This window comes from Homo sapiens, chromosome 19, assembly GCF_000001405.40.
Source record: "Homo sapiens chromosome 19, GRCh38.p14 Primary Assembly".
NCBI classification, from domain to species: domain Eukaryota; kingdom Metazoa; phylum Chordata; class Mammalia; order Primates; family Hominidae; genus Homo; species Homo sapiens.
This window is the reverse complement of record NC_000019.10, coordinates 23,363,351-23,390,184: the sequence shown is the minus strand read 5'-3', so window position 1 is coordinate 23,390,184 and position 26,834 is coordinate 23,363,351. Positions and strand designations below refer to the sequence as shown.

The window sequence follows — 26,834 nt, the reverse complement described above, 5'->3', positions numbered from 1 at the left end:
GCTACCATGCCTGGCTAATTTTGCATTTTTACTAGAGACAGAGTTTCTCCATGTTGGTCAGGCTGGTCTTGAACTCCTGATCTCAGGTGATTCGCCTGTCTCAGCCTCCCGAAGTGGTGGAATTACAGAAGTGAGCTGGCGCGCCTGTCCCGGGTTGTATCTTTTATGTGAAAATGGTAAATATGACTACAGTGTTCCGCTGAGTTCTGTGAGTAGCTCTAACAAATTAGTAAATTTCAGTAACATTATGGGAGTCCCCAGTTTCTAAACAGTATCTCAGAAGCATAGATGGGCTTATAGAGTTTGTGACTGGCATCTGCAGTGAGGACAATGTTGTGAGACTGAGCCCTGAATCAAGGTCTGTGCTGACTCTGGGTGGTGTCAGAATTGAAGTTTTAGATAATAAGTTGGTGTTGGAGAATTGCTTGGTGTTTAGCAAACTCTACAGATTTGGTGCCAGAAGAAAGATACCACAGACTCCTGGATTAGTATAAACCTCTGGGTGTCCAGGAATGAGAGGCTGTGCACTCTACACAGGCTGTCACACTGTCCCTTGTTCTGTGATTCCAGCTCCCCTTCCAGGGTGACAGAGGACCTAAAACTTAGAGGAAAGGAGCTCTGATGGCAGATCCCCTTTTGCCACAGCCACCACCACAAGATTTTCACCCACTCACTAACATACCCACTAGACATTAATGTGTCCACACCTCTCCCAGGACAGGGAACCACACTCAGGAATTTTACTACAGCATTTTTGATCCTAGTGTTTTTTTTTTTTTTTTGCCAAAAACTTACAGAAGTATCTCCAAGTCTTCTGGCATATTCCCACCTCCAGACACTGAATCTGCAGCAGCAGGCTGTTTTGTCCACCAGCCTGGGGTTCTGGACCACCTGTTTATAAACTCATCTGCCTGCATGGACCCAGAAATAAATCAGAGTACAGCCCCACCTGGGCCACTATCTGTAGCACAAACCAGTCTTTCTACCTGGAGTGTACTCTTCCCTACCCAGGGAGTTTTTTTTTTTAAACTTCTATTTTTGGTTTAGGGGTACACATGCAGGTTTGTTATACAGCTAAAATTGTGTCATGGTGGTTTTGTGTATAGATTATTTTGTAACTAAGGTACTAAGTATAGCACCAAAGAGGTATTTTTTCTGACCCTGTTTCTCCTGCCACCCTCCACCCTCAACTAGGCGTCAGTGTCTGTTGTTCCCCTCTGTGTTCATGTTTTTATTATTTAGCTCTTACTTATAAATAACATGCATTTGGTTTTCCATTTACGCATTTGTTTTCTTTCTTTCTTTTTTTTTAAAAGATGGTTTCACTCTTGTCACCAGGCTGGAGTGCAATGGCGTGATCTTTGGTCACTGCAACCTCCACCTCCTGGGTTCAAGCAATTCTCCATCCCCAGCCTCCCAAGTAGCTTGGGATTACAGGTGCCCACCACCATGCCTGGCTAATTTTTGTATTTTTTAGTAGAGATGGCGTTTCACCATAATGGCCAGGCTGGTCTCCAACTCCTGACCTCAGGTGATTTGCCTGCCTTGGCCTCCCAAAGTGCTGGGATTACAGGCGTGAGCCACTGCATTTGGCCTCCGCATTGGTTTTCCAAGAATAATGGTCTCCAGCTTCATGTTGCTATAAAGGGCATAATCTTGTTTTTTTCTGTACCAGTTCCATGTTACTTTGTTTACTGTAGCTCTGTAGTATAATTTGAAAACAGGTAATGTAATGCCTTCAGTTTTGTTGTTTTGCTTATGTTTACTTTGGCTATTCAGCCTCTGTTGTGGTTTTATATGAATTTTACAATTTGGTTTTATATGAATTATACAAAAACAATGTTTTTGGTTATTGTTTTCTGTTTGTTTTTTATGACCACACGGTATTCCATGATGTTTATGTATCATATTTTTTTATTATATATTTTATTTTATTTTAGAGACAGGGTCTCACTCTGTTGCCCAGGCTGAAGTACGGTGACATAATCTTGGCTCACTGCAACCTCCGCCTCTCGGGTTCCAGCAATTCTCCTGCCTCAGCCTCCTGAGTAGCTGTGATTACAGGTGTGCGCCACCACGCCCTGCTAATTTTTGTAGTTTTAGTAGAGACGGGGTTTCACCATGTTGACCAGGCTGGTCTGGAACTCCTGACCTTAAGTGATCTGCCCACCTCTGCCTCCCAAAGTGCTGGGATTACAGGCATGAGCCACTGTGCCTGGCCTTTTTTTTTTTTTTTTTTTTTTGAGACAGTCTCACTCTTGTTGTCTAGAATGAAGTGCAATAGTGCCATCTCAGCTCACTGCAACCTCTGCCTCCCGGGTTTAAGCAATTATCCTGTCTCAGCCTCCTGAGTAGCTGGGAGTACAGATGCCCACCACCACCATGCCCGACTAATTTTTGTATTTTTAGAAGAGATGGGGTTTTACCATGTTGGCCAGGCTAGTCTTGAACTCCTGACCTCAGGTGATCCACCCACCTTGGCCTCCCAAAGTTCTGGGATTACAGGCATGAGCCATCGTGGTGGGCCAAGCAATACTCTTGTTCCTCAGCCTTCCAAGTAGCTGGGGCCACAGGTGTGTGCCACCATGCCTAACTAATTTTTCTTATTGTATTTTTTTTAGAGATGCATTTTTATAGATGGGATTTTCCCATATTGCTCAGGCTGGTCTCAAACTCCTGAGCTCAGGCAGTCCACCTGCCTTGGCCTCTCAAAGTGCTGGGATTACAGGCATGAGCCATTGTGCCTGATCATACCATATTTTCTTTATTCAGTCTACCATTGATAGGCATTCAAGTTGATTCCATGTCTTTGCTATTGTGAATAGTGCTGCAGTGAAACACCCTTGTGCATGTGTCTTTATGAGAGAATAATTTGTATTTCTTTGGGTATATACCCAGTGATGAGGTTGCTTGGTGAAATGGTAATTCTGTTTTTAGTTCTGTGAGGAATTGCCACACCGCTTTTTACAATGGTTGAATTAATGTACACTGTTAACAGCAATGTATAAGTATTCCCTTTTCTCTGAAACCTTGACAGTATCTATTTTTTGACATTTTAATAGCTGTTCTCACTGGTGTGGATGGTATCTCATGGTTTTTCTTGGCATTTCTCTAATGATTATTGATGAACATTTTATTGCATGCTTGTTAGCCAAATGTTTGTCTTCTTTCGAAAAGCATCTTTTTCATGTTTCTTGTCTACTTTTTAATGAGGTATTTTTTCCTTGTAAACTTGTTTAAGTTCCTTATGGATTCTGGATATTAGACGTTTGTCAGAAGCATAGTTTGCAAATATTTTCTATTATTCCGTAGGTTGTCTGTTTACTGTGTTGATAGTTTCCTTTTCTTTGAAGGAGATTTTTAGTTTAATTAGGTCCAATTTGTCAATTTTTACTTTTGTTGTAATTGCTTTTGGTATTTTCATCATGAAATCTCTGCCAGTTTCTGTGTCTAGAATGGTATTTCTTTGGTTATCTTCCAGGGTTTTTTATCATTTTAAAATTAACATTTCAGTCTTTAATTAATCTTGAGTTGATTTTTGTGTATGGTGTAATAAAGGGGTCCAGTTTTAGTCTTCTCCATAGTGCTAGCTGGTTATTCCACAACCATTTATTAAATAGGGAATTCTTTCCACATTTCTATTGTTACTTTTGGTGAAGATCAGATGGTTGTAGGTGTGTGGCATTATTTCTGGGCTCCCTATTCTGTTACATTCATCTATGAGTTTGTTTCTGTACCAGTTCCATGTTGCTTTGTTTACTGTAGCTTTGCAGTATAATTTGAAAACAGGTAATGTAATGCCTTCAGCTTTGTTGTTTTGCTTATGTTTACTTTGGCTATTCAGACTCTTTTTTGGTTTTATATGAATTTTACAACAGTTTTTTTTTCATTCTGTTAAAAATATTTTGGTCATTTGATATCGAACAGCATTAAATCTGTAAATTTTGGAGGACAGTATGATCACTTTTAGGATATTGATTTTTTCTATTTATGAGCATAAAGTTGTTTTCCATTTGTGCCATTTCTGACTTCTTTAAGCATTGTTTTGTAATTCTTATAGAGATCTTTCACCTTCCTGGTTAGCTGTATTCTTAGATATTTTATTATTTTTGCAGCAATTGTGAATGGGATTATGTTTATGATCACATTTGGCTTGGATGTTGTTGATTCACAGGGATGCTACTAATTTTTGTCCATTTATTTTGTATCCTAAAATTATTTTTTTCCAAAGGCATGTAAAAATATATTTTTACTTTAAAAATAACTTAGTTACAGTAGTACTTTGCCTGTATCTTACCAACATGTAGCTGACAGTTAAAATTTTGCAATGTAGATATAATATATAGGGATATATAAGAACTACAAGAAAATCTCCAAAACCCGTAAAATTCAAATGTGAAAACAGAAAAGTTTTAACACTGGAGAATTCTCTACGGTGAGCCCAAGCAATATATAGAAAAGAGTCTAGAAAAAAGGCTGAGGTGTTAAATATGTTTTTACTTCCTCTTGCTCAGAAAATGTTGGAGTGCTGTAAAGTTCTGTAAATTTCTAATGTGACACGTCCAGCCCTTTGTAGCTAGTGCCAATCCTGGCCAAGCTAGATTTCTTGTGTGTCTGCAAACAATATCTGAGCCAAACATCACCAATGCCTGCTGAAAATGGATTCTGACTGACAGATTTCCTCGTTTTGCCAAGACAGGATTTTTTTTTTCTAAATTGTTTTTGCAAACAAGCTATAACAGGTAAAAAATAAAAATGCTTTATAAGAATATTATTTTAGAAAACCCATCACAAAACTGCAAATACAGCTTCAGAAGCCCTTCTGTTCAACTGCAGTTAGTTTAGTTTGTTTTTGTACCTTCTACCCCAAAGGAAATAAGTTCGCATCCTGTTACTTATTTTTTTCCGTGACATTCAGCCCCTCATCCAAAAGTGAGGGCCCAATATCAAGCTGCAGGGGGAGGAGGGAACCTGTAAGATCAGAGAGGGACTCCTCTGACTTAGTCTTTCCCTTGATGAGCTTGCATGACGCGGGATGGTGAAACATGTCTTCGGCTGGCCATTCGGGGTACTGTTCGGACAGGTTGGAGGAGTGGCTGTCCCTGCCCTGTCTGGACTGAGATGCGGAACCGCTGGAGCCCCATGAGGTGTCTCCCTGGTGGACTGTCCCGTTCTCCAACAGACTGCTTTTCTCCTGACCTTTTTCCTCCATGACGGGCTCGCAGCTAAGCCTTGGCAACTTTGCTGGCCGAAAGGACTCCTGTTTGGAATTAAAGTTCACCGGTGACAATAAGAGCAACATGAGAGCTTGGGACCCTCCAGTGATCGTGAGGGAGATGGTATTTTTGACCACTGAGGAGGGTGTTTCTGTGAACACAGAGTCTGAGGTGCTGTTGGCCCGGAAGAACTTACTATGCCCGGGGAGCTGACCCAGGTGTGCTTTCTCCTAGTTTCCAGGTAAAAGCTCATTGTTCCCTTGAAGAAAGGAAATATCTCCAAAGACGTCATGCTTGGCCCTCTTTGCCGATTTGGATGGTATGGCAAAAGCCTCCAAGAGGGGGACTGATGATATCGGGAGACAGAATGTCTCAGTTTAAATTTCTTTCCTTTCTTGTTATTGGCTGCTTTCAGGTAAATTGGGGCCTTGGCTGGCATTTTGGAATTTGAGAATGTCTGTTTTGCAAGCGGAAGAAAGGGCAACTTTTTTCACAGATGGTATATGTTTCTGAAGAATCTTTTTCGTTAGGAACTGTCAAATTTTTCTCAAGTGGCTTCAGAAGTGGCTCTAGCTGTGCGCGGTTCCGGCGTGGTGGGCGGTGACCTGCAGGGAAGCGAGGCCACCTGAGTGCACTGCCCTGGCCAGGCTGCAGCTCCCCAGGTCCCTTGCAGCCCGGGATTGGTTGGGCGCGGAGGGCTGTATCCTGAAATTATACTGAAGTTATTTGTAAGTTTAAAGAGCTATTCTGCCAAGTCTCTACGGTTTTCCTGATGTGGAAACCTGTTGTCTGCAAACAGGGATAGTTTGACCTCCTCTGTTCCTGTTTAAACGCCTTTAATTTTAATTTTAATTTTTTTTTAGATGGAGTTTTGCTTTGTCGCCCAGGCTGGAGGGTAGTGGCACGATCTCGCTAACTGCAACCTCTGCCTCCTAGGTTCAAGCGATTATCCTGTCTCAGCCTCGTGAGTAGCTGAAATTACAGGCACGTGACACCACGCTTGGCTAATTTTTGTATTTTTAGTAGAGACAGGGTTTCACCATGTTGGTCAGGCTAGTCTCGAACTCCTGACCTCGTGATCCACCCGCCTTGGCCTCCCAGAGTGCTGGGATTACAGGTGTGAGCCACTGCATCCAGCCAAATGCCTTTTATTTTTATCTTTTGCCTGATTGCTCTGACCAGGACTTCCAATTTTATGTTGAATAGTAGTGTTAAGAGAAGGCATCTTTTGCCTTTTGCCAGTTTTCAAGGAGGAATATTTCAAGCTTTTTTTTTTTCTTTTTGAGGTAGTCTCCCTTTGTCTCTCATGCTGGAGTGCAGGGGCACAATCTTGGCCAACTGCAGCCTCTGCCTTCTGGGTTCAAGCGATTCTCCTTCCTCGGCCTCTTGAGTAGCTGGGATTACAGGCACCCGCCACCACACCTGGCTAATTTTTGCATTTTTAGTAGAGATGGGGTTTTGCTATGTCAGCCAGGTTGATCTCAAACTCCTGACCTCAGGCGATCCACCTGCCTTGGCCTGCCAAATTGCTGAAATTACAGGACTGAACCACTGTACCCATCCGCTTCCAGGTTTTGTTTATTCAGTATATTGGGGCTGAGGGTTTGTCATAGATAACTTATTTTAAAGCATGTACCTTCAATGCCTAGGTTGTTGAGGATTTTTAACATGAAAGATGTTAAAATTTACCAAAAGCTTTTTCTGCATCTACTGAGGTAATCTTGTGGTTTCTGTCTTTAGTAGTTCTTTTTATGTGATGAATCACATTTATTAATTTGTGTATGTTGAACCAACCTTGCATTCCCAAAATAAATTCTACTTGCTCATAGTGGGTTAGCTTTTGGATATGCTGCTGGATTTTGTCATGATTTTGTTGAAGATTTTTGTATCAGTGTTCAAAGATACTGGCCTGAATTTTATTGGTTTGTTTTATCTCTGCCAGGTTTTGGTATCAGAATAATGCTGTTCTTATATAATGAGTTGGAGAGAAGTTACTTTTTCTTAATTTCTTAAAATAGTTTTAGTAGAAATAATACCAGCACTTTTTTGTACGTCTGGTCCACCTGTGAATGTCTGGTCCTTGGCTTTATTTGGTTGGTAGGCTATTTATTACAGTTCAGTTTTTGAGCTTCTTGTTCATCTGTTTAGGGCTTTGATTTCTTTTTTGTTCATTCTTGGAAGGATGTATTCCTTAATACTTTTTTTCATTTTTTCTAGATTTTCTTGTTTGTGTGCACAGAGGTGTTCATAATAGACTTCAAGATGTTTTTGTGGGGTCAGTGGTAATATCTCTGTGTGTTTGGTTTGTATAATTTTGAGATTTTTGAATTTCCTGAGGATTTTTTTATTTCTGATTGTGTGGTCAGTATGTGCCACGTGGCGATGAGAAGAATGTATGTTATGTTATTTTTAGATGAAGAGTTCTGTAGATACCTATTAGGAATATTTGGTCAAGTGTTGAGTTTAGGTTCTCATATTTTGTTAATTTTCTTCTTCAATTATCTGTCTATTAGTGCCTGTGGGATGTTGTAGTCTCCCACTATTATTGTGTCTGAATCTAAATCTCTTCATAGGTCTCTGAGAACATGCTTTATTCATCTGAACCTATGAATTTTATGTAACACCTTTCTCTCTTCTGTTTTTTCTTCCATAAACATTCTTTCATGTGCACACAGTGTGCAAAATTTAGATGTCCAGGAGTTCAAGAACATGTTTAGAGACCTGGCTGTTGTAAAAGAAAATATAAATTAGAAATAAGAGGCTTAATTAGTCTACATAAAAGTAAGAAAATATCTTACTAAAATCTCTTTTCTTATAACATTTAGATTACGTATATATTTTATCTCCCTTTTTTTGAAATATATATAAATCAAATAACAGCTGAATAAACCTTTTGTCATTTTTTTTTTTTTTTTTTTTGTCTCAGGATTGTCTTTATCTGGGACCCGAGATTAATTGCTTCGTTTTTGCTTTGGCAAAAGATTGTTCTTACAATTTTTAGTCTTTTAAAGTTGACACAGATTTGTTCAGTCTTGCTCATTCTAAAAGCACACAAAAGTTGAGCATAAAAATAGGATTAAATTTAGCAATAAAGAATTATAAAGACTAAAAGATACTGAGTAAGTTGTTTGACAGAAACCTGATTATCCATGATGATTATTTGCAGGCTAAAGTATTTATACTACAAAAGAAAAAAGAGTTCAGTTTATGGCTGGGCGCGGTGGCTCATGCTGGTAATCCCAGCACTTTGGGAGGCCAAGTCGGGCGGATCACCTGAGGTTGGGAGTTATAGACCAGCCTGACCAACATGGAGTAATCTTGTCTCTACTAAAAATACAAAATTAGCTGAGCATGGTGGCGCACGCCTGTAATCCAGCTACTCGGGAGATTGAGGCAGGAGAATCACTTGAATCCAGGAGGTGGAGGTTGAGGTGAGCCGAGATCATGCCGTTGCACTCCAGCCTGGGCAATGAGAGCAAAACTCAGTCTCAAAAAAAAAAAAAAAAGAGAAAGAAAAAAAGAGTTCAGTTTATAAACTGAAAAGTGGAGTGTGTTGTCATACCTTTGTTTCTATTTATTCAGTACAATTAGCATAGTAATGTATAATGTTTGTAGACAACCTGCATTCATATACATTCAATAGTATTTTCTGCAAGAGTATGAATATAAAGCCACAATATTTACTTTGAATGAATTCCTTAAATAGTTGTTTTAATATTGTGATTCATAGTTTTGAAATGTAGTTTTTCAACTGAATTATAGTTGCAGAAAATTTTTTAAAATCCTACATACATTATGAGTAGTATATTAAAATTATTCATAATTACATATTTATATCTAATATCCAAAGAAAATGTATTACCAAATTGTTACAGTAGAGATTAGTCTGATATACTTATTAATTTAACCAATAGGGATAGTTATAGGTAAGTATAATTTTAGTGGCTTTCATTTCAGAAATTGGAATGCTGCTATTACAGGACAAATAAAGGCAGGTGATTTGGCCACCCCAAAACTGTATAGCTGTTTAGTTAGTTATGTTGCAGGCTCACATATATTCCATTATATTAACACAGGTTTTAATTTTTTTAATCAAAAAGTGCTGGTGGTAGTTGTCAGATATATTTCTATATAGATTCCACATTTAATGGGCAGCAGATTAGAGAGCAGCAGAGATAGAAAAAAATCTTCTAAAATTCTGCTGATAATGTGCCCTTTCTTCATAACACTCATGTTTCTCATGCTGTGAGTAGCTATGCACTTTGGATATTTAGAGAGAAATTATTTTTAGAGGAATATTTTCTGGCTGACTTGATCAATCTTATATGTAATCTCAGTTTTTTCTTAAGACGCTTTTAACTTGTTTTTTTCTCTCAATATAATCTTTCTCGGAATGAGAGCTGTTTTTCTTTCTAATGCTTTGTGTATCTGTTTTAGAAACCCTATTAGTATCCCATAATGTCTGTGAAAGACATGGGCTGTCACAGTGAGAACTCTTAGAGCTATCTCTATCTGGATGCATGCTGGAAACCCAGCAGTATATTTTCCATGTCACCATTATAAATAGAAACTGTGGCTTAGATAATGCTCGCATTCCCATTATTGTGAAGGTGCGATTCTACCCGGGAGGCCTGCAAGCTCTCCTTCTGCAGCTCAAGCTTCACTCTTTTTTTTTTTTTTTTTTTTTTTTTTTTTTTTTTTTGAGACGGATTTTCCCCCCATTGCCCAGGCCAGAGTGCAATGGTGCAATCTCGCAATCTCGGCTCACTGCAACCTCCGCCTTCTGGGCTCAAGGGATTCTCCTTCCTCAGCCTCCTGAGTGCTTGGATTACAGGTGCCCACCACCATGCCCAGCAAATTTTTTATTTTTATTTTTAGTGGAGATGGGGCTTCACTATGTTGACCAGGCTGCTCTTGAACTCTTGACCTCATGATCTGCCCACCTCAACCTCCTAAAGTGCTGGGATTACAGGCATGAGCCACCGCACCCGGCCAGACTTCACTCTTTGATGTGACACTAAAGTGCTGCTGTGGCAATTGTCGTTCATCTAAGATGTGAGCTGCCAGCTGTGAGCCGTGTGCTGTGGGCTGTACCACAGTGGCAGATGGTAGGAAACAAAAGAGGACACTGGCCACCAGAAGAGGGGAAGCAGGAGTGCACTAGTCAAGTCCTCAGGGAGTAGAGAGCCAGTGCTTTAAAATGCAAGTAGCCAAAAAGATAGCACCCTATTCAACCACTTTTGTAGAAGAGTGAAAGTCTACCTTAAGCAGGCACCTGGCTTCAAGTTGCAAAACTACCTTCTGCCATGAAGATGTGAAAAGCTTATTTTGTCATTGAATATAACCAATTAGCATACATGGATGACCTCCCCAATGACCAGGTGAATTTAGGATGAACTACCTATGACATGGCGCTGTAAATTCTTCTACTTGTGAACTAATTACGGTAACCGTCTTTATTTCTTTTCAATCTCTTAAGCAGATGGATTGTAATGCATGTGACATTCAGACTTAATTGTGTAATGAGACAGTTTTCTTTCTGTTCTATTACTGTGGTTTCTCTGGTGCTGAAGAGAATTAATAAAAATTATATTTCCCAAACACTGTGTAGAATTACCAGACATAATATAAACACATAAGGTGCCAACCAAGCTCTACTCTAGAGGGGACTTTCCCTCTCAGGCTTCCAGTCAACTCACAGTTACGCTGTAAAATGTGTGCTGTCACCTAAATATGCAGGCAGAATTGTGTCTCTGCCTATTTGGTAGTTTCATTTTCTATTTAGAATCAGCCTGAGTCTCTCTTGCTGGCTTATTATTGGACCATCAGCCCAGGGTCACTGGAAATGCTCTCACAGTCACCTAGGTATCTTTGAGACATTTGAGAATCTCCAGAACAGAATTGTGTCAGGCTGACTAGAGTGGTTAATTTTGCTTCTAACTTAGTGTAAAAGAAATGAGTCATCCTGTGTTTGCTCCTCCCCTCATACAAGAGATGTCTTTGGTTGGTACCCAGGTGAGAGTTTCTCTAGTTCCCTGGTACTTGAGTGAAAAATGATGAGGAGGTCTGGAGACTCAAACAAATAAACTAATTGCTTCCAATTCATATAGTCATTAGAAAAATAGATGAAGCAGTCATGGTCCCTACCATGCAAGAACTTTTAGTCTAGACTAGCAACTGGATAAGTGGTTTAATTATGCATCAAAAGGTTGGGTACAATAAATAGATGTGTGCAAAAATATGGGCTTTATTTGGGCCGTTTTCTTTATATTTTTGTGACTTGTGATGTCTACACCTGAACATATATTAATAAACAAAAAAGTTATTATTTGTATTTTTTATGCCCTGCTAAGAATACTTATTTATCATCTAAAAAATTATTCTAGAAAACCTTAAGGGATTTGTTTAAATTGCTTATTAGTATGTGATATAAAATTGAAAGGGCAGTGGGGCTAAAAAAGATTAAAATTACACAAACTCTGAGATTTAAGTTTCTGTTTTCGTTTTTGTTTTTTAGCTAAGTTTAAAAAAAGAAACGGAACTAAAAATACTCCCCAGTGGCATAAAGAACAGAATTTTACATCAACTCTACACCCTGCTTCAGCCCTGTTTAGATTCACCCTTTTTGAAGGCCTTATTTAAGTCTTGCCCTACCCTGGAGTTTTGCCTCGCAGAACTAACTAGTAGAGATCAGAGTTTTGGGTAATGAATCCTGTTGCCTTTTTAGAGTTGGTGCTCACACTTTTCTGAAACCCAATAGCAGATAAATGGAAAAATAACATGTATTATAGGGTCTTAATTTAATAATTTTATATTAAAACCAGTGTTTACAGAGACATTCCATTTAGCAACTTGTTTTCTGTTCCTGCAGATACAGTAGTTGATTCACAAGTCACAAAATAGTAAATATAAACATAATAATTCATCTAAATTACATTACACTCTATCTGTATCCCTCTCATCTGTCTATATTTAGATTTTATTCTATGCATTTTTTTAAAAAAATGAGTGACAAAAACAGAAGAAGAAATAAAAATGCTGGATCCTTATTCTAAATCCTTGGGATTATTCAACACTTAGTATCAACTCACAGGGTGTTATTAGAATTAAATCAAATAATGAATTATCACAGTGCTCTGTAACATCCTGTTGATTACATAGTACCTGCTTAATAAACATTGCATTAGTACATGTGCACATGTTGTTTTCCAAATGCAGACTTACTCAGAAATTGCTGTTTTCTGTTTTCTTTGTGAACTTTAAAGAGCCAGCAAGTAGTATACTTTAAGATAGAGAATGGTTGTCTTCATTTGTATCAGAAGTATTTGTGTTGTGACAGGAGTGCTGAGTGTAAGGGACTCTGTGCTGTGCCTCATTTTTCTAACAAATGCTAATAATGAGACCAGAGAGAGTGACATCAGCACTGACAGGGGACTTGTTTAGAACACCCATTTATGGACCATTTCCAAACCTGCAGAATCACATTACATAGAGTGGGGCCAAGTTTACCAAGTGATTTATAAGCTAATTAAAGCTTGAGTGGCAATGCTTAGGTAAGTGGTTATAAGCTCAGGATTCTAATTAGAAGCACATGGCCAATTCACAGAACTCTCTTGTGCCCTTTTCACAGTTTCTGTTTAATGTTCTGAAGATAGCATCTATTTGTTTTAATTAAGTGTCTCCTGTGACTCTAAGGTGCCAGAATCAAGTATGAGAAGTTTAAGATACATTCATGAGAGTTAAGTTCCACCTTTGCACTAAAGGGTGGTCCAGGAACCTGTTCTATTTGGATTTGGTAAGGACAGGACAGTGTGGCCAATATTTGTATTACTGTAGCAGAAATTGCTGATGTCCGTAGCAGGGGAGGGCACCTGAGGACAAAAAAAAAAGAGAAACTTATATTTTTATCTCTGTGGAGCAGCTCATTGTTCTGAATCTTTTCTGTTATTCAGGACAGAAATGGGTAGAGTTTTTGTGTCTTGGGCCTTCTGCCTTTGGGTGTGGTGGTAATAGGTAAACATGTGCTCAAATTATTAAAGGCAAATTCTCAAAATGCAGACATAATTAGTCCAGAAAAACTCATCTGAGAAAGAATTTGAGAGGAGGAGGAGAAAGAGAAAAAATGGCTTTTTTTCAGCTAAACATGTCTCAGATCAAGAGCTGTGTCCACTCTGCCTCGTGGAATGCCACGCGTTTAGTACTTGCAAATTTTTACTTCTGTACCTGTATTTTTTCTCCCTAATGAGTTTGTCTTAACTACTTTTAAAAATGCTTATGATAGGCCAGGCGTGGTGGCTCACGTCTGTAATCCCAGCACTTTGGGAGGCCGAGGCGGGCAGATCACCTGAGGTTGGCAGTTTGAGACCAGTGTGACCAACATGGAGAAACCCTGTCTCTACAAAAAATACAAAATTAGCTGGGTGTGGTGATGCATGCCTGTAATCACAGCTACTCGGCAGGCTGAGGCAGGAGAATTGCTTGAACCCGGGAGGCAGAGCTTGTGGTGAGCCGAGATCGTGCCATTCCACTCCAGTCTGGGCAACAACAAGAGCAAAACTCCGTCTCAAAAAAAAAGAGAAAAAAAAAAAAGCTTATGATAGTCAAGGATCTCTGAAAATATTTCTTTTCTATCTACCAGAGCCTTCTCTGCATGATGGCTTCTTATATGCCATGCAGAATTCTCACCATGAATTTGTGATCTGCAATATTAAAAATGTTCTCTTTGTGGCTGTTGAACATGGAAAGGTGTGGATAATCTATTTCTATGGAGAAAACCTGGGATTCTTAGTGAAGATGGAGAACATATAATGTTGAGGTTCTGTTTTTTTATTATCTCTGTGCATTACAGGATTAAGAAAGTGCTCATTTAAACAGGATGGCATTTATTACCCAGAAAGTTTGGAAAAAATTATCAGGATATAGCTGCTTATTAGGGTGTTAAAGAAAGTACTTAAAATCACTATTAAAAATTGTAGAACACGGAAGATACCTGTACCTTGAACTTTCCATGCAACTGATATTTTCTTATGGTTAAATTGAGACTGTAATTTACTTTAGTGGGGGCAATATGGTGCATCAGCATACTATAGAAACTTGTCCTAGTGCAATTGGTATTAATAACTCACTTGCTTAATAAGCTCTCTTACAGATTTTTTCACTACAGAGTTATTTTTCTCTTCATCATTAAGTATCTTTATGCAGGTGATGTGCATAAAACATCACATTTAATCTGGCAGCTGCCCTTTTTTTTTTAGGTTTTCTTTGCATTGATCTTTTTTTGGTAAATGAAAGCTCTCATCTTTGTTTACAGGCCAGAAAAACTGAAAAAAACACAGGCTGTTCCACTTACTGGATGTTTGACAGAATAGTCTTTTGGGGTCAAAACATTGGCATTACTAGTGAACTTTTTAGAAATTCAGTAATTCAGACTTTATTTCAGATCTCCTGAAAAAATAATCTGCATTAACAAGATGTCTAGTTTATCATACACATTAAAATTTGAGTGGTACTGGCCAGGCATGGTGGCTCATGCCTGTAATCCCAGCACTTTGGGAGGCCGAGGCGGGAGGATCACGAGGTCAGGAGATCGAGACCATCCTGGCTAACACAGTGAAACCCTGTCTCTACTAAAAATACAAAAAATTAGCCGGGCGTGGTGGTGGGCACCTGTAGTCCCTGCTACTCGGGAGGCTGAGGCAGGAGAATCACGGAACCCGGGAGGCGGAGCTTGCAGTGAGCTGAGATTGCGCCACTGTGCTCCAGCCTGGGCAACAGAGTGAGACTCTGTCTCAAAAAAAAAAAAAAATTTTGAGTGGTACCTTCTAACTCAACGTGTCTATTGTGTCTGAAATATATAACAACTATGCCTTTTTCACCTGAAAAAAATACACAAGTCATTCTGTATTATGTAAATATAACACTCAAAAATGTACTTGTTAATATTTATGCCCTCAATTTTACACTTTATCATCTAGACAAGTATCATATATACACTGATATTGTGGGTATTATGCCACTCTCTTTTCTCAGAGTTAGAGAATACATTACAAAACGTTTGTGTGTTGACAATTATTTTATTGGATAATTTCAGCCACTCTTATAAGTCAGAACCAGTTCTAGTCACTTTCTGATTTTACCTTGAGTCAAATGAAAAATTCTGCCCATAGCCACTTTGTAAATATGTGTGTTTGTGTGTGTTTTTCAGGGACTGTTGACATTTAGGGATGTGGCCATAGAATTCTCTCCGGAGGAGTGGCAATGTCTGGACACTGCACAGCAGAATTTATATAGGAATGTGATGTTAGAGAACTACAGAAACCTGGCCTTCCTGGGTAAGGAAAACTTTAATACTAAGTTTCTAATATAAACTAATGGTTTTACTTCTTTTCTTTTTTTTTTTTTTTTTTTTTGAGACAGAGTCTTGCTCTGTTGCCCAGACTGGAGTGCAGTGGCGAGATCTTGGCTCATTGCAAGCTCTGCCTCCCAGGTTCACACCATTCTCCTGACTCAGCCTCCGGAGTAACTGGGACTACAGGCGCCCACCACCATGCCCGGCTAATTTTTTTTTTTTTTTTTTTTTTGGTATTTTTAGTAGAGACGGGGTTTCACTGTGTTAGACAGGATGGTCTCGATCTCCTGACCTCATGATCTGCCCGCCTTGGCCTCCCAGAGTGCTGGGATTACAGGCTTCATTTCTGTTTTGTAGAATGTTTTCTGGAAATTTATGCTTTCAGATTTCTGTTTTCAAGAAAATCCTGGGGATTTGTTTGTTTAGAAAAGAATTTCCTCAAGATGTTTCATCTTGACCTGAACTTTCCACATTCCTGAGCTGATCTGTGTCCTTCACTTTAGATTAGTGGTAATTTCAGAAGTTTTGTGGCATAAAATACTGTTACTCACACCTTAAAATCTAATTGCCATCACCAGTTTTTGATACAGTAGTACCAAGCAGTAAAATTAAGAACCTATAAAATTAAAATATCTTCTAAATATTTAAACATTTCTGTTACAAATTAGTATATTGGGACAATTTATTAGAATATTCTATTATATGCTCTTTACTGAGCACATTACTAAGTTGGCAGGTGGAGAATATGAGCAAGACTCATGTTAGTTATTTTTAATAAAACAGGTATTGCTCTCTCTAAGCCAGACCTGATTACTTATCTGGAGCAAGGAAAAGAGCCCTGGAATATGAAGCAACATGAGATGGTGGATGAACCCACAGGTAGGTGAGAGTGAATACAACAGACGACAAGGATGAGAGGCCCAAAGTCAAGAAGAAAGCAGGTCTTTAAAGTGATCTGAGAAGCTGTGTTCCAAAGGAAATAGTTTCTGGGAAGCCTGAATTTTTTTTTTAAATTATGCTATCACTTCTGTTAATGCTTATAAAATCTCTAAGAATTCTACTTTCCCTTCAATGATCTTTCTTCAAGTTTACAGTGACAGCCAGAGTACTGTTCATGGCATAGAAAAGAGTGCATTTTGCTAATTTTACATTTTGCTAATTTTTTGCATTTTACATTTTGCTAATTAACTGAGTGTATTCATTAGTTTAAACAGGTTTTAAAGTACTGTTTATTTATATATATATATATATATATATATATATATATATATATAAGATTACATGATCTACAAAAAGCAACATTTTACTTACTGGTCTTCAATTTCAATGACTTTAAATTTTTCTTTTGACTGTTTTGTCTTCCACATACTTTGAGTGCTATGTTAAAATAGAAGCATTGACAATAAGAAACAATAGTTTTGCATCGGTGACTGTAAAGAAGGAGCAAACACTTGTTCAAGTATTTATAGACTGGTTTCAGAAAGTAAAAATCTATTTTTATTGGGTCCTCAGAGTGATAGAATGTCATCTGGGTTTGTAGTGAAGAAGGGTTGTAGCTTGGTCTTAAGTCTGCTGGGTTTGCACAAGGGTCCACCTTTAGTTGTGTTGTTAAAAGGGGCTTGGATAGTTATAATTCTCATTTAATTTTTGGACAGAGTGAATATCCTTCAGGACTTTGCTCTGCAGGGCAGACCCAAGGGCAGGTTTCTGCAGTCAGGTCTGCATATGGTGGGCTTTATATGAGGATGTGGATGAGCATGGCTTTCATCTAGTACAAGAGAGGATTTTCCCACGTTACTTTGGGTTTCTACATAGGCAGAACCGGCCATGAACTGTGGCTCAGAGAGCTGGAACTGAATCATGGACCTGCTTCAGGGACCACAGTAAAGGCCAAAGTCTGCAGGCCTGCTGCATGGCTATAAATGGGTGTCTTCCTCCAGGCCTCTGGAAGGGCAGAACCTCCCCAAGTCTGTAGCTGGGAAGAGTTTGGGATGGTTACAGAGTACAGTTCAAAATTCTCAGTGGAACCAAGTTAAGTGGAATATTTTCTTGTCTGTAGCCAAAAACAGTAGTCCTGTAGTTTGCTGCCTGAATGAGGCTTGCCTTCTAAAAAGGATTACCTTCGATCTTGGGCTTCAGCAGAGTTTCATAACTCCCATCCTGGATCTCAGAGCTCTCTTAAAGGCACTTATTTTTGAGATGGGGTCTTGCAACATAACCCAGGCAGGTCTTAATATTTTGACCGGAAGCAGTTCTCCAACTTTAATGTGCCATGTAGCTGTCATTACAGGTGTGAACCATGATGCCTGGTTCTCTCACAAACGCATTTTTGTCAGGAATGGCTGCCAAATTTTCTTGCTGTCAGGAGATAAGCAAATAGGGCATCTTTTTTTTTTTATCTTATTAATGTCACTCTCCATATAAATTTTTATTTTTATTTTCTACTTCAAATTTGTCTGTAGTTTTGGATTCAGACATTTAGGACAATATACTAGAATGTACATGTTGTGTGTGAGTTAGGTAATTAGTATACAGGCAGGCAAATAGGAATTACAGAATTTTCAGCCACTTTTGTCAGCCTGTAACTAAATAATAACATAATGTATTCCTCAAATATTTGTTTTATACATGAAGCTCTAACCATATTTTGCTAAATATATACATAATTTAGCAATTTAAGGCTATAGTTGGTTCTAAACTTGAATTACAGTAATTTTATTTTGTGTAAAAATAGCACATATTTAAAACATAAAAATTGACACTAGTTTCTTTTAAATGCTTATCTATTAAGTTTCTCATTAGCATCTCCTATTTATGATTGTACTACATTTTCTCTGGGATTTTATTGCCATACAATAGATACCAGTAATTTAAAGTGCCTGCCTTCCATGACTGCACAGTTAGTCAAACATTGCCGTTTTCTAGACAAATTATTTGTTAACGTACATTAATGTTGCCAACTAGATTTTATGAGTAAACATTTCTTTCATTATTTTCTTGCAGTTCTACATTAGTGTGTTTTTTAGTGTAAGTTCCTTAATATGAGTTTATTGTTTTTTGGTTTTACTTATGTATTATAATTTTAGACAATTTGCAATTCTGTTTGTATACTTTAAGTCAGTGTGGGATTTAATTAAAAGATAAATGAGCCATATGTCTATCACAATCAGATTATATATGTGTGTTTTTATGTCTACAAATATGACCCCAGTTTTGGTTATAGCTTATCTTGTATATATTCTTTCTTATCTCATTTTTTTTTCTTTTTTGTTTTTGAGATGGAGTTTTGCTCTTGTTGCTGAGGCTGGAGTGCAATGCATGATCTTGGCTCACTGCAACCTCCACCTCCCAGATTCAAGCGATTCTCTTGCCTCAGCCTCTAATGTACCTGGGATATCAGGCATGTACCACCATGCCCGGCTAATTTTGTATTTTTCTTTTAGTAGAGACAGGGTTTCTCTCATGTTGGTTAGGCTGGTCTTGAGCTCCTGACCTCAGGTGATCTGCCTGCCGTGGCCTCCCAAAGTGCTGGGATTACAGGTGTCAGCCACCTTGCCCAGCCTCTTAGTTCACTTTCAATGTTGGTTTTGTCTTGTGTAAGTGAGTAGCCTTTGAAATAGCATTATTTTCACCATGTGTTTAATGATGAATATGTATTTCCTTTGTGTGAAAAAAAGTTTTTGTGATTTGAAGGTAATTTTCAAGAAAATTTATAATTCTTTATTTTTTCTGTCTTTTTTCCTAAAATAATTGTTGTAAAAACACATAACATATAATTTACCTTCTTAAATCTATTTCAATGTACATGTCAGGGCCAGGCATGGTGGTGGCTCACTTCTGTAAGACCAGGATTTTGAGAGGCCAGGACAGGAGGATTGCTTGAGCCCAAAAGTTTGAGACCAGCCTGGGCAAAATATGGAGACACCCTCTCTACAAACATTTTTATGTAAGAAATATCCAGGCATGATGGTGTGTACCTGTGGTCCCAGCTACTTGAGAGATTGAGGGGCAGGATTATTTGAGCCTGGGAGTGTAAGGCTGCAGTGAGCCATAATGTGCCACTCTACTCAAGCTTGTGTGACAGATTGAGACCCTGTCTCAAAAAACTAAACAAAACTGTATATTTCAGGCCTGTTAATATTAACATTGTTATGCAAAAGACTTCTAGAAATTTTACATCTTGCAAAATTAAAATGAAATGCCCATTAAATAACATTTGACCATTTTATGCTCTCTCTAGCCCTTGACAAACACCCTTCCACTTTCTGTTTTTATGAGTGTGACTATTTTATATATCTTAGTGAAATCATAACATTTATCGTTTCGTTACTAGTTTATTTCAGTTGACATAATCTCAAAGTGTATCTTTAAATGTGACAAGTTTTTTGTGTTTTTTTTTAAGGTTGAATAATACTCCGTTGTATCAAATATGTCTTCAGGGTCTTATGATGCATATTTTAGATATAGATTCATAAATGGAATTGCTGTATTTGATAATAATTTTATTTAAAGTACATTTATAACATTATAAAATAATGGGTGCATCCTGCTTTCCACCAACAATCAATATAAGTTTTGTTTGTTTGTTTGTTTGTTTTTTGCTTTTTTTTTTTTTTTTTATTGATCATTCTTGGGTGTTTCTCGGAGAGGGGGATTTGGCAGGGTCATAGGACAATAGTGGAGGGAAGGTCAGCAGATAAACAAGTGAACAAAGGTCTCTGGTTTTCCTAGGCAGAGGACCCTGCGGCCTTCCGCAGTGTTTGTGTCCCTGGGTACTTGAGATTAGGGAGTGGTGATGACTCTTAACGAGCATGCTGCCTTCAAGCATCTGTTTAACAAAGCACATCTTGCACCGCCCTTAATCCATTTAACCCTGAGTGGACACAGCACATGTTTCAGAGAGCACAGGGTTGGGGGTAAGGTCATAGATCAACAGCATCCCAAGGCAGAAGAATTTTTCTTAGTACAGAACAAAATGGAGTCTCCTGTGTGTACTTCTTTCTACACAGACACAGCAACAATCTGATTTCTCTATCTTTTCCCCACATTTCCCCCTTTTCTATTCGACAAAACTGCCATCGTCATCATGGCCCCTTCTCAATGAGCTGTTGGTTACACCTCCCAGACGGGGTGGTGGCCGGGCAGAGGGGCTCCTCACTTCCCAGAAGGGGCGGCCGGGCAGAGGCGCCCTCCACCTCCCGGACGGGGCAGCGGCCGGGCGGAGGCGCACCCCACCTCCCTCCCGGACGGGGCGGCTGGCCGGGTGGGGGCTGCCCCCCACCTCCCTCCCGGGCGTTGTTTTTTTTTTTCTGAGACAAATTCTTGCTCTGTCGCCCAGGGTGGAGTGCAATGGCACGATCCTATCACACTCCAACCTCTGCCTCCTGGGTTCAAGCGATTCTCCTGCCTCAGCCTCCTGACTAGCTGGGATTACAGGCACACGTCACCACACCTGGGTAATTTTTGTATTTTTAGTAGAGACAGGGTTTCACCACGTTTAGCAGGCTGGTCTTGAACTCCTGACCTTGTGATCTGCCTGCCACGGCCTCCCAAAGTGCTGGGATTAAAGGTGTGAACCACTGTGCCCAGCCAAGGGTTTCATTTTGATTGCATTATCAAGAGATTTGGTGCTTTTAAAAAATGGATAGTGACCATTTAAGTGGGTGTGAGGGGATTTTGTTTCTCATTGTGATTTTAATGCATTTCTCTACAAATTAGTAATTTTGTGTGTCCTTTCAAATGTTTTTTTATTTGTGTTTTTTTATGAAAATTTATTTTAATTATTTATTTCTAAATAAAGTTATTTAACTTTATTGTTCCGTTTTAAAAGTTGTTTATATTTTTTGGATATTCACACTTATCACATGTAATTTGTAAATATTTTCATCCATTTTATAGGAGGCATTATTTCTCTATTAAATGTTTACTTAAGTATGCAGAAATTTTGAAGTGTAGTGTAGTTAAATTATTCTGGTTTTTTTCTTTGTTGCTCATGCATTTAATGTTGTATCTAAGAATTTGGCACCAAGACTAATGTCATGTGTTTCATATATATATAGAGAGAGAGAGAGAGAGAGAGAGAGAGAGAGAGAGAGAGAGAGAGAGAGAGATGGAGTTTCGCTCTGTCACCCAGGCTGGAGTGTAATGGTGTGATCTTGGCTCACTGCAACCCCCACCTCCTGGGTTCAAGCAATTCTTCTGCCTCAGCCTCCTGAGTAGCTGAGACTACAGGCACGTGCCGCCCCGCCTGGCTAATTTTTGTATTTTTAGTAGAGACAGGTTTTCACCATCTTGTTCAGGCTGGTCTGGTCTTGAACTCCTCACCTTGTGATCCACCTATCTCAGCCTCCCAAAGTGCTGGGATTACAGGCATGAGCCACAGTGCCCTGCCTCCCCTCTATGTGTTTAAGAGATTAAAAATTTATGCGGCTGGGCCTCGTCGCCCAGCGCTTTGGGAGGCTGAGGTGGGTGGATCACGAGGTCAAGATTTCGAGACCAGCCTGGCCAACATGGTGAAACCCTGTCTCTACTAAAAATACATAAATTAGCCAGACGCTGTGCCCGGTGCCTGTAATCCCAGCTACTCGGGTGGCTGAGGCAGGGTAATCGCTTGAACCCGGGAGGCAGAGGTTGCAGTGAGCCGAGACTGCGCCACTGCACTCCAGCCTGGGTAACAGTGAGACTCCATCTCAAAAAACAACAATAACAAAACAGCAACAACAACAAAGTTACCTTCTTATGTCTAATTAAAAGATTTTCACATATGGTTTAAGGAAATAATCTTTATTTTATCAGAATGGATATTCAGTTTCTAACAGAATTTTTTGAAAAGGTTATCTTCCATTGTGTGCTCATGTCAATTTTGTGGGAGATTATTTGGCCATATACAGAAGGGTTCATTTCTGGCCTCTCTACTCTGTTCTTTCATCTGTTTATCTGTGTGAGTACCTCATTGTTTTTGTTATTGTTGCTTTTAGTACGTTTCAAAATCAGAAGTTATAATGCCTTTGTTTTTTTTCCATGGGTGTTTGGCTATAGTTCGTAACAAAATTTTAACATCTCAAACAGTATTTCTTTAAAAAACTACTGTTGGGATTTTTATAAAGATTCTATTGAATTTGTGTACCACTGTTGGTTGTATTGACATCTTTGAAAAATTAATTTTTTTATTCCTGTGCAAAAATATGTTGAAGAGTTTTTTATTTTCATGTATTTTTGGATTTTTCAGTTTTAATCTCCAGTTTGAGTTTTGGTCAGAAAACACAAAGTGGATAATATTGATATTCTTAAATTTATTTGTTGTTTTTTTGTGTTTGTTGTTTTTGTTTGAAGACAGGATCTTACTCTGTCACCCAGGCTGGAGTGTATTGGCATAATCTTGACTCACTGCAGCCTCAACCTACTGGGCTCAAGTTATCTTTCCACCTAAGTCTCTCAAGTAGTTGGGACTACAAACAAAGTACCATGTCTGAATAATTATTTGATTATTTTGTAGGGATAGGGTCTCACTATGTTGCCCAGGCTGGCCTGAAACTTTTAGCTGTAAGTGATCCTCACACCTTGGTCTCTCTATGTGTTGGGATTATAGGCATGAGCTACACCACCCACCTGGCATTCTTAAATTTAATAAAACTTAGTATGTGTCGTAACAGAATACACCAGGTGCAAATAAAAATATTGCATATTCCCTTGCTTTTGACTGAAAAGTTTTGTACATGTCTGTTAAACCTAGTTGGTCTATAATATGGTATTGATGTTGATGTTACTCAAACCTTATGCTGCAATGTAATTCTTGATGTTAGATGTCGGACCTGGTAGGAGGTGTTTGGGTCATGGGGCAGAGTCCTTATGAATAGTTTGGCACCATCCTCTTGGTAATCAAAATGTGTGCACTTTATTAATTCAAATGAAAGCTGGTTTGTTAGAAGAACCTGGCTCCTTCACCTCGTACTTGCTCTGTCTGTTATCTTGTGGTGTGTACAGTTAATCTTCGCCTTCAACCGTGATTGTAAGCTTGCTGACACTCTCACCAGAAGCAGATGCTGGCACAGACTTTTTATACAGTCTGCTGAATTGTGAGCCAAATAAACTTGGTTTTTTAATAAATTATCCATTCTCAGGTATTCCTCTATATGCAGAATGATAAATCAGTGTATAATGTTGTCTAGGTTTTCTGTTTTCTTATTCATTTTTATATGAATCTTCTATTTATCGAAAATGGGATTTTGGTGTCTACAATTACCATTTTTATTCTGTTTTAAATATTCTATAGAAGATCTTTAAGGATTTTAAGCATCATCATTATGATAGTAAAGACTTCTGGTCAGCCCCCCGCCAGGCCAGCCGCCCCGTCTGGGAGGGAGGTATGGGGGTCAGCCCCCCGCCCGGCCAGCCGCCCCATCTGGGAGGGAGGTGGGGGGGTCAGCCCCCGCCGGGCCAGCCACCCCATCCGGGAGGTGAGGGGCGCCTCTGCCCGGCCGCCCCTACTGGGAAGCGAGGAGCCCCTCTGCCCGGCCACCACCCCGTCTGGGAGGTGTACCCAACGGCTCATTGAGAACGGGCCATGATGACAGTGGTGGTTTTGTGGAATAGAGGAGGGGGAAAGGTGGGGAAAAGATTGAGAAATCGGATGGTTGCTGTGTCTGTGTAGAAAGAAGTAGACATGGGAGACTTTTCACTTTGTTCTGTACTAAGAAAAATTCTTCTGCCTTGGGATGCTGTTGATCTATGACCTTACCCCCAACCCTGTGCTCTCTGAAACATGTGCTGTGTCCACTCAGGGTTAAATGGATTAAGGGCGGTGCAAGATGTGCTTTGTTAAACAGATGCTTGCAGGCAGCATGCTCGTTAAGAGTCATCACTACTCCCTAATCTCAAGTACCCAGGGACACAAACACTGCGGAAGGCCGCAGGGTCCTCTGCCTAGGAAAACCAGAGACCTTTGTTCACTTGTTTATCTGCTGACCTTCCCTTCACTATTGTCCTATGACCCTGCCAAATCCCTCTCTGCGAGAAACACCCAAGAATGATCAATTAAAAAAAAAAAAAAGACTTCTATATTTGTCTGTGTATTTACATTTAATAGAGAGCTTTATTTTATATATGGTTTTATGATACTGTCCAGTATTTTTTTAAAACAAAACTGACTCATTTTACTGACTCATTTCAGCATTTCTTATTGTTATTTACAGAGTCTCACATTACTCAGGCTGATCTGAAACTCCTGGTTTCTAGTGTTCTGACAGGCTTGCCTCCTAAAACTGTAGGATTACAGGCATCAGCCCACGGTGCCTGGACACCATGTAGCATTTTTTTTTTTTTTTGTAGAACTGTGCTAGTGGTGATGAACACGCTCACTTTTTATTTTGGAAATTTTTTATTTTCATCTTCTTTTTAAAGTGAAATAAATTTAAATCAAGTATTCTTAGTTAGAATTTTTTTTCTTTTATTACATCAAAATTTGGGAATTTCTCACCTTTTTTTATTTTCAAGTAATCTCTGTATTATTTTTTCCCATATTCTTCTTCTAAGATTTTTTAATGAATATGTTAATCTAGTTGATGGTGCCTAATAAAGTTTACATTCCATGTTTTAATTTGGTTTTGCAATTGTATATTTTTGTGTTATATATTTTAGGGTATGCCACTACACATCTGTTAATTGTGCTTTGATATTTTAGTATAATAATTGTGCATGTCAATATTTAACTTTATGCAATTTAAGACAGTCTGGAGCAACATCAAATATGATTGAGCCATATGTCTTTTTCCAATAGAATTATCTCTATGTTTGTTTGCCTGTATAAATATTATCGTTGTATTTTTTATAACTTGTATATTTGTTGTGTGGGTTTGTTGTGAGTGATTTTCTAATCCTGTGTAGCTGAGTAGTCATAAAATTCTTATAATTTCAACATCCTATTTATTTCTGAATCTATATTTTTTTATGGGAGAAACACTTTTAAATGTGAATATAATTTAAAACTATCATAACTCTGTACTTTTAGTTATTATTATTTTTACTTGTCAAAAAAAAAACAAAATTTACCAGAAAATAAATATTTAATTTAGTCATATTAATCATCTTGAAATTTTCATGCAACATATTGCTAAAATGTTTTTACCTTGCAAGCTAAATCTTAATACATATTAAACAACTACCATTTTTTTTTTCTTGAGATGGAATTTTGCTCTTGTTGCCCAGGCTGGAGTGCAATGGCGCGATCTCGGCTCACCACAACCACTGCCTCCGGGTTCAAGTGATTCTCCTGCCTCAGTCTTTGAGTAGCTGGGATTACAGGCATGTGCCACCACGCACAGCTAATTTTGTATTTTTAGTAGAGAGGGGTTTTCTCCATGTTGGTCAGGCTGATCTCAAACTCCTGACCTCATAATCTGCCTTAGCCTCCCAAGTAGCTGGGATTACAGGCATGTGTCACCACACCTGGCTGATTTTTGTAGTTTTAGTAGAGACGGGGTTTCACCATGTTGGCCAGGCTGGCCTTGAACTCCTGACCTTAGGTGATCTGTCCTCCTTGGCCTCCCAAAGTGCCTAAAATACAGGTGTGAGCCACCATGCCTGGCCTGGCCTGGCACATCACTTTTATTTTGCAGCTTCAAAGATTTTTTTTTTGTCTGTGACTTTTGAAATTGTGCTTATATATGTGTTTGTTATAAATATCTTTCTGTGATCCTAGTTTGTTGAGCTTCTTTATTTTTACATCATTTTTTCTTACTTTTAGGATCTATCAGTTTTTATATTTTTACCTCCACAATTTCTGCTTTTTTGAAATCTTAAATATTTTTGTTCTCATCCTCATTTTTCCGATTTTCCATAGTTGTCTCTGTTCCTATTTTAATCAGTGAGTATTATTCATTACCAATTCATAAAATTAATGTATACATCTCTTTTATGGTTTCTTTCAGAAAATTTTATAATATTTTGGTGGCATCATATTGCCCTATTTTGTATACATTATAATCTTTGATTGAGATTTGGACATTTAAAAAAGCTAACTGTCAAAGTCTTTATAATGTAGTTTTGTCCTGGCATAGTTTGAAAACAACTGTCTTGTCTAATGATTATGGGAATTTCTCAAATATGTTCTTAGGATATGTGTTGTCTGAAATTTTGTGTTTATGTCTTAATTAAGAGTGTTTACTTATGTTACTTTGTAGGAGTCAGTAATCACTTGCTATGCCTGTTTCCTTTCTGTGGTACTGCAGTCTCTCTGCTGCTGTAACATTTTTCTTTGGTCTCAGCAGACTCAA

The 26,834-nt window shown here is 38.6% G+C and overlaps 1 protein-coding gene and 2 pseudogenes across 9 annotated transcripts in view; 1 reads left to right on the top strand and 2 right to left on the bottom strand.

Annotated features, from left to right (window-relative positions):
* The window catches only part of ZNF91 (zinc finger protein 91), a 90,468-nt gene that overhangs the window by 5,287 nt on the left and 58,347 nt on the right, over nt 1-26,834 (top strand). For 7 of the 9 annotated variants that reach the window (XR_001753754.3, XR_007066980.1, XR_007066981.1 and 4 more), the window contains exons 2-3: nt 15,421-15,547; nt 16,348-16,443. Coding sequence is in view for 3 of the 9 variants with exons in the window: in XM_024451693.2 (XP_024307461.1) it covers nt 15,421-15,547; nt 16,348-16,443 (223 nt within the window). In the remaining 6 variants the exon portion in view is untranslated. The remainder of the gene's footprint in view (nt 1-15,420; nt 15,548-16,347; nt 16,444-26,834) is intronic. The other 2 variants (XR_007066982.1, NM_001300951.2) reach the window with 1 other exon arrangement.
* Nucleotides 4,705-5,855, bottom strand: CDC42EP3P1 (CDC42 effector protein 3 pseudogene 1; annotated as a pseudogene).
* BNIP3P8 (BCL2 interacting protein 3 pseudogene 8) lies at nt 9,312-9,868 on the bottom strand (annotated as a pseudogene).